The sequence below is a fragment of the Homo sapiens genome, chromosome 6 (assembly GCF_000001405.40).
Source record: "Homo sapiens chromosome 6, GRCh38.p14 Primary Assembly".
Classification (NCBI taxonomy): domain Eukaryota; kingdom Metazoa; phylum Chordata; class Mammalia; order Primates; family Hominidae; genus Homo; species Homo sapiens.
In genome coordinates this window covers 6,140,672-6,153,876 of record NC_000006.12, presented here as the reverse complement: position 1 = coordinate 6,153,876, position 13,205 = coordinate 6,140,672, and the positions used below count along the sequence as shown (strand labels likewise).

The 13,205-nt window shown below is 41.2% G+C and overlaps 1 protein-coding gene across 1 annotated transcript in view; it reads left to right on the top strand.

Annotated features, from left to right (window-relative positions):
* Nucleotides 1-9,793, top strand: part of F13A1 (coagulation factor XIII A chain) — a 176,579-nt gene extending 166,786 nt beyond the window's left edge. Inside the window, exons 14-15 of the mRNA NM_000129.4 lie at nucleotides 1,928-2,064; nucleotides 8,105-9,793. Of these exons, the coding sequence (NP_000120.2) occupies nucleotides 1,928-2,064; nucleotides 8,105-8,258 (291 nt within the window). The 3' untranslated portion in view covers nucleotides 8,259-9,793. The remainder of the gene's footprint in view (nucleotides 1-1,927; nucleotides 2,065-8,104) is intronic.

Genomic DNA, 13,205 nt, shown 5'->3' with positions numbered 1-13,205 from the left:
TAACTATTATTATAGTCTGATCGAGCTGATACAAATATAGCCCTTGTGTTGTGAGGCTTATGTGAGAATATATGTGAATTATGGTTGTCAGCTGGGGCTGGTTCTTTGTAATCAACAGGGGTGCCTCAAATAAATGAATTACAGGATCCACCCATTACCAGACTGAGGATTGCTGGTTAAAGTGCTGGACTCCCTGCCTGGCACACGATCCATGCTGTCTAGGTGCACCTGCTGTTGTTGCTACCATGACCATCGTCTGCCCCTCTCCTAGTTCCCCTGAATCCAGCTCTCCACCACTGCCCTCCAGGAGATGCGGATTTAAATGTAACAAAGTTTAGGGAGTTGGCTGAAAGTTTCGTTTTTCTTATAGACTTAAGAAATCCCATAGCCATAAATTTAGTCACAAAGCATGGCTTGATGAGTAAAGCCATAAGAGTGTATTCTTCTTTTAATCGATATATAATAATTGTACATATTTATGGGGTACATGTGATTTTTCAATTCATGCATACAGTGTGTAATGATCAGATCAGGAAGATTTTATTCTTGACTGTAGCATAAGTAAGCAAGGGTCCTCTTCTCTGGGCAATGTCCTTCCTCTTTACGTCCATTCTTAAAAACGCCTCATTTCCATATATTTTCTCCCATATTATATAGTGGCTAAAGGAACATGGAATAGTAATGGCTGTGTTGTCATCTGGAAGATCCAGACATCCAGTAAATTCCATTTTTGAGCCATTGACTTAATTTAATAAATATTTACTGGACATTGGTATTGAAGTACTAAGTATTGGAGTTAAAAGTGGGCTGAAATATAAGGTGAATAAGACAAACTACCCAGAGCATTGCTACCCTAAAAAGCATCAACTGTAATGCATTGGGCCTTTGCCATGTGCCTTGCAATATGTTTGCCGTTTTATGAGCATTTTTCATTCCAAACCTTTCTTGCAAGGGAAGAACTATTATTCTTATCTTATTCCCAAGTTACTTAGAGCTTATACAGATCCATTCATTTGGTATACATAGCTCCTAAACAAACAAACAAGTCTTATAGCCACCTGGCATTTTGCGGCACATTGCGTTTATGTTGGAAAAGCATATGGTTCTAAAGTGTGTGGCATACAGTAAACACAGCTTAAGGTATAGTAATAATAAGAGCATTCTACATAGATCGCCCCATAAAAGTGTCAGCCCATTTTAAAGACAAGAAAACTGAGTCTCAGAAAGCCTAAATCACCTGAGTCCCCACTGTTAATAAGTGTTGAACCTGGCACTGAGCTCTGGCTGTCTCCTGTGGTGTTCTTCCAAATACCTGATACTTCTGAGAGTCATAATAGATCAACTCACCAACAAATAACCTTTTATTTTCCTGGACTCTGGTACTGTGGCTGTAGAAGAAAAATCTCCTTTACTTATTTTAGTATCCAGGTTCCTCTTCATGTTCAACAGTAAGGACTCCATCCTTGGCATATTTCTTGCGAATGTGTCTAAAACTAAGAAGGCACATGTGCCCTGAAGCATTTTCTACTTCTTAAACTCAGGAATCCCCTTTGTCCCAGCAGGAAACTTGATGCCTATCCAGAAGCAAAGTTCACTTGGCCGCCCTCACCGTGGAAACGTGTTGCCACACCAAATGAACTTCCCCCTCCTGCTGTCAAAGAGCAGTCAGTGGCCACCGCTATTGACCTGAGCTCTAATTAGGCTGGTTTTATAATGAGGAAAAGAGTGCGATTCTAATTAGTAAATTTCCATCTCTTTCTCAATAGGTATCCTCCAGTCAAAGCAATCAGCTATCCTCATCACACTGGTTCCATTGCCAAAAAAATAACTGTATCATAAAACTCTAGTAAAAGTGATGATGGTTAAGACAACAAGAGAGCAGAACGAGGTTTTATTTGGTGCTAATGACCTGCATTCTCTCTCTTAGGTCCGTGGCACTCAGGTAGTTGGTTCTGACATGACTGTGACAGTTGAGTTTACCAATCCTTTAAAAGAAACCCTGCGAAATGTCTGGGTACACCTGGATGGTCCTGGAGTAACAAGACCAATGAAGAAGATGTTCCGGTAAACCTTGGGTTGGGGAGACCGGGCAGGCAGTGCAGGGCTGTGGGAAGCTTTCTCTGTGTGTGTCTTTTCCAAACATAGATCTGCTCCCCAGTGAAAATGTCTTGGAAGCTGCCTCCTCCTTGCCGACCATTTCTGTAGGGCGTGGAGTAAAACTAGGGTTGGTTTGACCAGCACTTTCATCATTTAATCCTTAAAGACACCCTACGATGTAGATACTGCTATTATCTCCCTTCTGTAGCTGAGGAATTTGAGGCTTTGAGAGGTTGACTGGTTACACAGGTTCAGTTACACAGTTTATGAAAACAGAGCCAAGATTCAGACTCAGGCTGGTGAATTCCAGAACCCAAGTTTGAACCACTTTGCTGTACTACCTACTCACGTATGGTCTCTTCTCATCTTTATTGAGCTCCTACCACGTGTCAGATATTATGCTGAGAGATACCCCCTTTTCATGGGTGCTTTGTCTCCAGCCTCACCTCACAGATTTTACCATCCCAATCAGTGTCTACAACTGTTGGATTCAGGTTTTTTTTTAGTTGAGCCTAAAGAGCTCTAGATGGTTCCCCATTCAGGGGACCAAAGACAACCCCAGGTTCTGTAATGATATGAATGAAACTCAGCCTCTTCCACACACAGGCCACTTCAAATTGTGCTTGACAGGTCTCAGTTTCTGTGACTTCTACTAACAAAGAGTGTGACCCAACAAGATAACCCATTCCATGGTCAGGTAGCTCTAACAGTAAGGAAACAGGTTTTTCTACCATTTGATCCTGCCAATGATCCTAATTCTGCCATCTGGACTGACAGAAAGTAAGGCCCATCTCTTTTCCATCTGATGGTTTGCAAATGTTTGCAAACAGCTGTCTCATCTTCCTTGAATCTTTTCTACCTGGGGACAAATATCTGTCCTGACTTTATTTCCCTCTCCTCTAACATGGTTTCAGCTCTCTCTCTCTCTCTCCCACACATTCCAATTTGTCACTACTCCTCTTAAAGTGTGACACCCAGAATGGATCCCAATCTTTGAGGTTTATTACTTTCATTTCTACCACAAATAAGTCCTTGTCAGCATCAATCAATCTAGCACATTTCCTGTGGAGTGACCTTCTAAGGCATAGAAAGGGAGGTAGAGGACTTTGGAAACTGCCTCATGACCAGATATGTCAAGAATTTTCCCGACACCCTTTATGGAAGCGACCCCACTCTGGAATCTGTGGGATAAATGCAAGGCCTCACTTATACCCTCTGGGGCAACTTTATTGCCCATAAAGGGCTCTCCGCATTTCTTTCAAATTACAATGCTCGTAGCTTCTGCATCTCATCATTTAAGAGATGCCTTATTGCAGATGCAATAAACAACAGAGAAAATAATCTTAGTGCTTTTGAAACAACGCAAGCACAAAACATAGCAACCTTCCTGTGCTAACAGGAAAGTTACAGGAAAAAAAAATAAGTAAATTAGTAATCAACCCCAGCTACATAGAGAGGTCAGCAGCCATACCCCTGCTTTCGTCAGAAACGACAGTCTCACTCACCCATTCTCGCACCTTCCCACTCAAATCAGATGCAAGAATCGTTCAGGCAAAGTGAAACACGTTTCCTCTTCCATACAGCCCCCTGCTGTATCCAACTTTTTCCTTCCCAGACAGTAAACCCACAAGCTTTATCTGAGTGTACCGGAAACTTCTCTATCTTTACACCTTGGCTATCCCCCTAGAATTCCACCTTGGTCAAGGCCAACACATGAAAAAAGACACTGTGTGTCTTAGACAAAAGATGAATTATTACACAGTGAATTATTACACAGTGCAATGACCCACTATTTGGGAGGCCTCAGGCTCAAAATAGGTTAAATCTCCAGATGGTTTGTTTATTGTTAATGTCTGACATTGGAGTGGAGCAAAGTGGAGTGAATCGGGAGAAAGGATGGATAAGGCCAGTCCCTTCTTGGACACAGATGTCCTGCCCACACACTGGCTTAAGGTACTGTTAGTAGTTACTGCAACACGTAAGTCTAGGCAGACAAGTAGATAGACAGAGAGCTAGCTGCTCTTAGTCAGTTTGAGCTGCTGTAACAGAAATGCCATAGACTGGGTGGCTTATACAACAAACATTTATATCTCACACTTCTGGAGTCTGGGAAGTCTGAGGACAAGGTGCCGACCAATTCGGTTCCTGATGAGGGCTCCCTTCCCAGCTTGCAGATGGCTGTCTTTTCACTGTGTCCTCACATGGGGCAGAGAGAGGGAGGGCAAGTTCTCTGGCACCTCTTCTTCGAAGGGCACTAATCCCATCATGAGCCCCACCCTCATGACCTATTCTAATTTAGTTACCTCCCCAAAGCTCCATCGCTAAATGGTATCACACTGGAGTTTGGGTTTCAACAAATGAATGTGTGAGGACCACAAACATTTAGTCCGTAACAGTCCTCAATCTCTCTTTTTAAGTTTTTTTTACTGACACATTGTAATTCTACATATTTATGTGGGGCAATTTGATGTTTCGATACATATATATGTTGTATAATGATCAAATCGGAGTATTTAGTGTATCCATCACCCCATGCATTTATCATTTCTTTGTGGTGAGAACATTCAAAAGCCTGTCTTCTAGCTCTTTTGTAATATACAATACCTACTGTTAATCATAGTTACCTTATCATGCAATAGAACACCAGAACTTATTCCTCCTATTTAATTGTCACTTTGTTCTCATTGGCCAACCTCTTCCCATCTTCCCCTTCATGTTCTCCTCCTCAGTCTCTGGTAACCACTGTTCTGCTCTTTGCTTCTATGGTATAATAATTTTTTTTTTTTTAGTGTCTACATGTGAGTGAAATCATGTAGTATTTGTCTTTCCATGTCTGGTTTATTTCACTTACCATGATGCCCTTCCTCCAAGTCTAATTCATGTTGTTACAAATGGCAGGATTTTATTCTTTTTATGGCTGAATAGTTACAGAAACCCAGCTTCAGGGTGGAATATCTCCCAGACAAGAGAAGCTTTATTTCTCAGAGACAGTCAAAACTTGGGCTAAAAATCATGACATAGAAAACATTTGTTATCTAAGATGGGCTTACAACTTGGAGCAAGTGCCACTTTCTCTGTTTACTCCTCACTCCAGCACACACCTTCACAACCAAGACCTGAGCCAGTCCGTGCCCACTTCCATATGGTCAGATAATTAGAAGCACTCCACTGTGCCCTATGTTGCCAAGATCTGATCTAGGAGCGCCAGATCCATGTAACAACTTGGACGCCTAGAAAGTGCAATTCCACAAAACCAAAATCCTTTGCAAGACCGTATTTCTTTCTAGAATACAGCTCTTAAATAGTTGGGGAATCACCACCCCCACTCATTCACCCACACCCTGCCAGATGTGGTGTCTAGAAGGCAGGGGTTATTGAACCCAAAGCAGAGGGCCTGGAAGGTGAGGAGCTGGTAAACAGGGAATTGGAGCCAGGAACAAAGAAGGCGGTGCTGTGTCTCACCCCTCACTCGCAGTGAGCCAACTCTACTCTGAAATGGTTTATCTTCCTGCTCTTCCCCCACTGCCTCCGGCCTGTCTCAGATGTGCAGAGGTTCCACCTCCACAGACTCTTAACTTTCTGCACTTGATGCTTCCAGAGCGTCAAATAATTTATCTTCCAGATTTATTTTGCTCTTTAGAAAATGATCCAGTTCAATATGTTATTTCAAGAGAAAAACTCCCCCACTTTGTGATTTGGGCTTAAACTTTAAGTTTCTCAAATAGGACAGAAGCTAAGGTCTAGAAGCACAGAGGACAAACCATGGGCAGTTGCAGTTTATTGTAATAATAATCTTATTTGCCTGCGTGCATTCAAGATGATAAATGGCCGGTATCTCCTGATGGCTCAGCACGTTACTGAGAATCGTTTATCACAACATCCATCCCCAGAAAATAGGATTACTCCAACATTGCTCCACTTATCAAAATACTTTTTTCTCTGTTATGAATTTATCTGTATGTAAAATAGCATGCATACGTATCTTCATGTATGAGTATTTTCATGTATGAGTTTTTTCGTATGTACACATCATTATGCCGGATGGTTTTATGAGTAAGAGAAAATGATAAGAGGGGGCTAAATACTTAGCTTCTATTTGAGGTGGTTATCTACAGTACATGGTCTCAGGTCGGGTCCTTAACCAGGGCCACTGTTTCACAAAGTGCTTCTGATTGATCACTTGGGGGAACCAGAGGAGAGAGAATGAATGGATACAGGTAACAATAGCACAGCTGTTGAGAAATAAATATCCCAAACTTATATTGGTATTGAATTGAGCACTGAGAATTTTCTCTCTGCATACAGGCAGGAGAAACTTTCCTAAATTATCTTGCAAAGAGTTCAATGAATCCTCCATGAACACTTCCAGGACACTCTTATTACTAAGTCAAAAAGTATCTTTCCTGCTTGAGAAATAAAACCTATGAAAAAGTAAGCACAATGGTCAGAAAAAGCCTTTTCTTCTTTTCTTTTTTTATTTCTATAGGTTTTTGGGGAACAGTTGGTGTTTGGTTACATGAATAAGTTCTTTGGTGGTGGTTTCTGAGACATTTGGTCACCCATCACCTAAGCAGTATATACTGTAACCATTTTGTAGTCTTTTATCCCTCCCACCTTTCCCCTGAGTCCCCAAAGACCATTGCGTCATTGTTCATTGTTATGCCTTTGCATCCTCATAGCTTAGCTCCAGCTTATGAGTGAGAACATAGGATGTTTGGTTTTCCATTCCTGAGTTACTTCACTTAGAATACTGGTCTCCAGTTTCATCTAGGTCACTGTGAATTCCATTGTTTCATTCCTTTTTATGGCTGAGTAGTATTCCATGGTATATGCATACCACAATTTCTTTATTCACTCATTGATGGGCATTTGGGCTGGTTCCATATTTTTGCAATTGCACACTGTGCTGCTATAAATATGTGTGTGCAAATATCTTAGAAAAAGCCTTTTCTTATAGAACATATGGTGTACACTTTTATGAAGTGCAGTGAAGAGGAGCAGAAAGAGTATGAATATGGGACTCAGAAAAACCCGGGTTCAAATTTCATCTCTGCCCATTTACCAATTATGTGATCTTGAAAAAGGGACTTCACTGGTTACCTTCCATTTTTCTTGATCATAAAATCTGCTGAATAGTATCTGCCTCAAAGAACTGTCATACATATAAAACCTGAATATAATCTCCCAAGGTTTATAGGGGAGGCTATATGTGAAGCACCCCAGAGAACACTAAATCTCACCAACCCTGATTAGTCTCAGTCTGCACTGATGTGGGCTTGTTCGTGACACTCAGGAAGACTTCAGGGCAAAGGCTGGGAGGAAGAGGAGAACACTAGAACCATGAAAGGCTATGTCATTAGCCGCATACATTAGGGCATTGGCAACAAATGGTAGCAGAAAGTTGCATAGGTGGAGGGGCCCAATTTGGTGGTTGAAATAGGAATTTGAATTACAGAACATGAAGATTCTCAAAGTCAAATGGCAGCAGGCAGGGCTATATTCCAGATGCTGAGCCTGGGAACAAGGTCTATCCCAAGGGAGTTGGCAAAAGCTAATTCGAGTGTCAGGGCCTCAGCAAAGGCAGCTGGGGGATTCATATAGGACTGTAATTCCAGGAGGAAACTAGTGGCAAAAACTGAGCTGAGGCTCAGAAGATCAGTCACATAGATAAGGCTACTATGGAGGGCTTGGAGACAAGCTAGAGTTCAGTTGATTAATGGTTGGATGGGAATCAGCCCAGCTCCTGATGGCCACTGGGAGGCTGGCGGATGCATCCCAGTGGAAGGAACCATGACCCAATAAGACTGTCAGTGACAGGTTCTGCAGAGCTTTATGTGGGGGCCTCATTTGGGGCATAACTTGCTGAATCAGCCAGTGAGAGTCTTCAGTGTCCTAAGCACCAACTGAGAGAAAGAAAGCAAGTGACTTAGGCAAGAGTTTTCATTGCTTCCTGATCAAAGTGGAAAGCTGGATCTTCCAACCTCTCCTCTCTTTTCCATCCTTTCAGTGAAATCCGGCCCAACTCCACCGTGCAGTGGGAAGAAGTGTGCCGGCCCTGGGTCTCTGGGCATCGGAAGCTGATAGCCAGCATGAGCAGTGACTCCCTGAGACATGTGTATGGCGAGCTGGACGTGCAGATTCAAAGACGACCTTCCATGTGAATGCACAGGAAGCTGAGATGAACCCTGGCATTTGGCCTCTTGTAGTCTTGGCTAAGGAAATTCTAACGCAAAAATAGCTCTTGCTTTGACTTAGGTGTGAAGACCCAGACAGGACTGCAGAGGGCTCCAGAGTGGAGATCCCACATATTTCAAAAACATGCTTTTCCAAACCCAGGCTATTCGGCAAGGAAGTTAGTTTTTAATCTCTCCACCTTCCAAAGAGTGCTAAGCATTAGCTTTAATTAAGCTCTCATAGCTCATAAGAGTAACAGTCATCATTTATCATCACAAATGGCTACATCTCCAAATATCAGTGGGCTCTCTTACCAGGGAGATTTGCTCAATACCTGGCCTCATTTAAAACAAGACTTCAGATTCCCCACTCAGCCTTTTGGGAATAATAGCACATGATTTGGGCTCTAGAATTCCAGTCCCCTTTCTCGGGGTCAGGTTCTACCCTCCATGTGAGAATATTTTTCCCAGGACTAGAGCACAACATAATTTTTATTTTTGGCAAAGCCAGAAAAAGATCTTTCATTTTGCACCTGCAGCCAAGCAAATGCCTGCCAAATTTTAGATTTACCTTGTTAGAAGAGGTGGCCCCATATTAACAAATTGCATTTGTGGGAAACTTAACCACCTACAAGGAGATAAGAAAGCAGGTGCAACACTCAAGTCTATTGAATAATGTAGTTTTGTGATGCATTTTATAGAATGTGTCACACTGTGGCCTGATCAGCAGGAGCCAATATCCCTTACTTTAACCCTTTCTGGGATGCAATACTAGGAAGTAAAGTGAAGAATTTATCTCTTTAGTTAGTGATTATATTTCACCCATCTCTCAGGAATCATCTCCTTTGCAGAATGATGCAGGTTCAGGTCCCCTTTCAGAGATATAATAAGCCCAACAAGTTGAAGAAGCTGGCGGATCTAGTGACCAGATATATAGAAGGACTGCAGCCACTGATTCTCTCTTGTCCTTCACATCACCCATGTTGAGACCTCAGCTTGGCACTCAGGTGCTGAAGGGTAATATGGACTCAGCCTTGCAAATAGCCAGTGCTAGTTCTGACCCAACCACAGAGGATGCTGACATCATTTGTATTATGTTCCAAGGCTACTACAGAGAAGGCTGCCTGCTATGTATTTGCAAGGCTGATTTATGGTCAGAATTTCCCTCTGATATGTCTAGGGTGTGATTTAGGTCAGTAGACTGTGATTCTTAGCAAAAAATGAACAGTGATAAGTATACTGGGGGCAAAATCAGAATGGAATGCTCTGGTCTATATAACCACATTTCTAAGCCTTTGAGACTGTTCCTGAGCCTTCAGCACTAACCTATGAGGGTGAGCTGGTCCCCTCTATATATACATCATACTTAACTTTACTAAGTAATCTCACAGCATTTGCCAAGTCTCCCAATATCCAATTTTAAAATGAAATGCATTTTGCTAGACAGTTAAACTGGCTTAACTTAGTATATTATTATTAATTACAATGTAATAGAAGCTTAAAATAAAGTTAAACTGATTATATTTGCATCTGTGCAGAAGTGAATGCTTTTAATTTTCAATATAACACACTACTAATCACAACTTCTTGAGAAACCATCCTTCCTCCGCAGTAGACAACCCACCCTGGATAGGAAAACAACAAGCATTTATCCTCTAAAGAAAATGACTCTAACAGGTGTTAATGTCACAGTTTTCTTCACCTCTCTCTTTCTACATTTTATTAACTATATTCACTGAAGGATCAAGTTGCATATTAGTTCAAAAACCAGCTTCCAGAAACTATAAAATCTCTGTAGATATTTTCTCATAAATAATCTTATGAACCATTATGGTGAATCAGTGGATAGCCAGCATGGAGACCTAGCATAACGAACACATGTTATGGTCTTATGATAATCACGTATAGGAGATCCTATATTCATGGCAGACATCACTGAACAATTGTAGCTCAGATAAGACCTCAGAATCTTTCTCATTTCCAGGTAGCAACTAGCAATTGATTTTAAACTGGCACACAATCAATAGCTTACCAATGAAAAAGAGTCCAGGACCAGATGGATTCACAGCCGAATTCTACCAGAGGTACAAGGAGGAACTGGTACCATTCCTTCTGAAACTATTCCAATCAATAGAAAAAGAGGGAATCCTCCCTAACTCATTTTATGAGGCCAGCATCATCCTGATACCAAAGCTGGGCAGAGACACAACCAAAAAAGAGAATTTTAGACCAATATCCTTGATGAACATTGATGCAAAAATCCTCAATAAAATACTGGCAAACCGAATCCAGCAGCACATCAAAAAGCTTATCCACCATGATCAAGTGGGCTTCATCCCTGGGATGCAAGGCTGGTTCAATATACACAAATCAATAAATGTAATCCAGCATATAAACAGAGCCAAAGACAAAAACCACATGATTATCTCAATAGATGCAGAAAAGGCCTTTGACAAAATTCAACAACCCTTCATGCTAAAAACTCTCAATAAATTAGGTATTGATGGGACGTATCTCAAAATAATAAGAGCTATCTATGACAAACCCACAGCCAATATCATACTGAATGGGCCAAAACTGGAAGCATTCCCTTTGAAAACTGGCACAGACAGGGATGCCCTCTCTCACCACTCCTATTCAACATAGGGTTGGAAGTTCTGGCCAGGGCAATTAGGCAGGAGAAGGAAATAAAGGGTATTCAATTAGGAAAAGAGGAAGTCAAATTGTCCCTGTTTGCAGACGACATGATTGTATATCTAGAAAACCCCACTGTCTCAGCCCAAAAGCTCCTTAAGCTGATAAGCAACTTCAGCAAAGTCTCAGGATACAAAATCAATGTACAAAAATCACAAACATTCTTATACACCAACAACAGACAGAGAGCCAAATCATGAGTGAACTCCTATTCACAATTGCTAAAAAGAGAATAAAATACCTAGGAATCCAACTTACAAGGGATGTGAAGGACCTCTTCAGGGAGAACTACAAACCACTGCTCAAGGAAATAAAAGAGGATACAAACAAATGGAAGAACATTCCATGCGCATGGGTAGCAAGAATCAATATCGTGAAAATGGCCATACTGCCCAAGGTAATTTACAGATTCAATGCCATCCCCATCAAGCTACCAGTGACTTTCTTCACAGAATTGGAAAAAACTACTTTAAAGTTCATATGGAACCAAAAGAGAGCCTGCATCGCCAAGTCAATCCTAAGCCAAAAGAACAAAGCTGGAGGCATCACACTACCTGACTTCAAACTATACTACAAGGCTACAGTAACCAAAACAGCATGGTACTGGTACCAAAACAGAGATATAGATCAATGGAACAAAACAGAGCTCTCAGAAATAACGCCGCATATCTACAACTATCTGATCTTTGACAAACCTGAGAAAAACAAGCAATGGGGAAAGGATTCCCTATTTAATAAATGGTGCTGGGAAAACTGGCTAGCCATATGTAGAAAGCTGAAACTGGATCCCTTCCTTACAGCTTATACAAAAATCAATTCAAGATGGATTAAAGACTTAAACATTAGACCTAAAACCATAAAAACCCTAGAAGAAAACCTAGGCAATACCATTCAGGACATAGGCATGGGCAAGGACTTCATGTCTAAAACACCAAAAGCAATGGCAACAAAAGCCAAAATTGACAAATGGGATCTAATGAAACTCAAGAGCTTCTGCACAGCAAAAGAAACTACCATCAGAGTGAACAGGCAACCTACAAAATGGGAGAAAATTTTCGCAACCTACTCATCTGACAAAGGGCTAATATCCAGAATCTACAATGAACTCAAACAAATTTACAAGAAAAAAACAAACAACCCCATCGAAAAGTGGGCAAAGGACATGAACAGGCACTTCTCAAAAGAAGACATTTATGCAGCCAAAAAACACATGAAAAAATGCTCACCATCACTGGCCATCAGAGAAATGCAAATCAAAACCACAATGAGATGCCATCTCACACCAGTTAGAATGGCGATCATTAAAAAGTCAGGAAACAACAGGTGCTGGAGAGGATGTGGAGAAATAGGAACACTTTTACACTATTGGTGGGACTGTAAACTAGTTCAACCATTGTGGAAGTCAGTGTGGCGATTCCTCAGGGATCTAGAACCAGAAATACCATTTGACCCAGCCATCCCATTACTTGGTATATACCCAAAGGACTATAAATCATGCTGCTATAAAGACACATGCACACGTATGTTTATTGCGGCACTATTCACAATAGCAAAGACTTGGAACCAACCCAAATGTCCAACAATGATAGACTGGATTAAGAAAATGTGGCACATATACACCATGGAATACTATGCAGCCATAAAAAAGGATGAGTTCATGTCCTTTGTAGGGACATGGATGAAATTGGAAATCATCATTCTCAGTAAACTATCGCAAGAACAAAAAACCAAACACTGCATATTCTCACTCATAGGTGGGAATTGAACAATGAGGGCACATGGACACAGGAAGGGGAACATCACACTCCGGGGACTGTTGTGGGGTGGGGGGATGGGGGAGGGATAGCATTGGGAGATATACCTAATGCTAGATGACGAGTTAGTGGGCGCAGCGCACCAGCATGGCACATGTATACATGTGTAACTAACCTGCACAATGCACACATGTACCCTAAAACTTATAAATAATAATAATAAAAACTGAGAAAAAAAAACATTAACAACTGGTGAATGTAAGTGAAGGATATGTGAGTACTTATTGCACTGCTCTTGCAAATCTATAGAACTAAAATTTTAAAAAATAAAAATTTGCAAAATAAAAGAAAGAAAAAAAGAAACTGGCACGCAAGATGGAACCTGTTTGTCATGCTTACCCTTAGAGCCAGCCCATTCCCTTTGATAGCTAGGATTTCATACATATTAATGCTATGGCTCTAAGAGTTATGATTTAGCAATGATAAC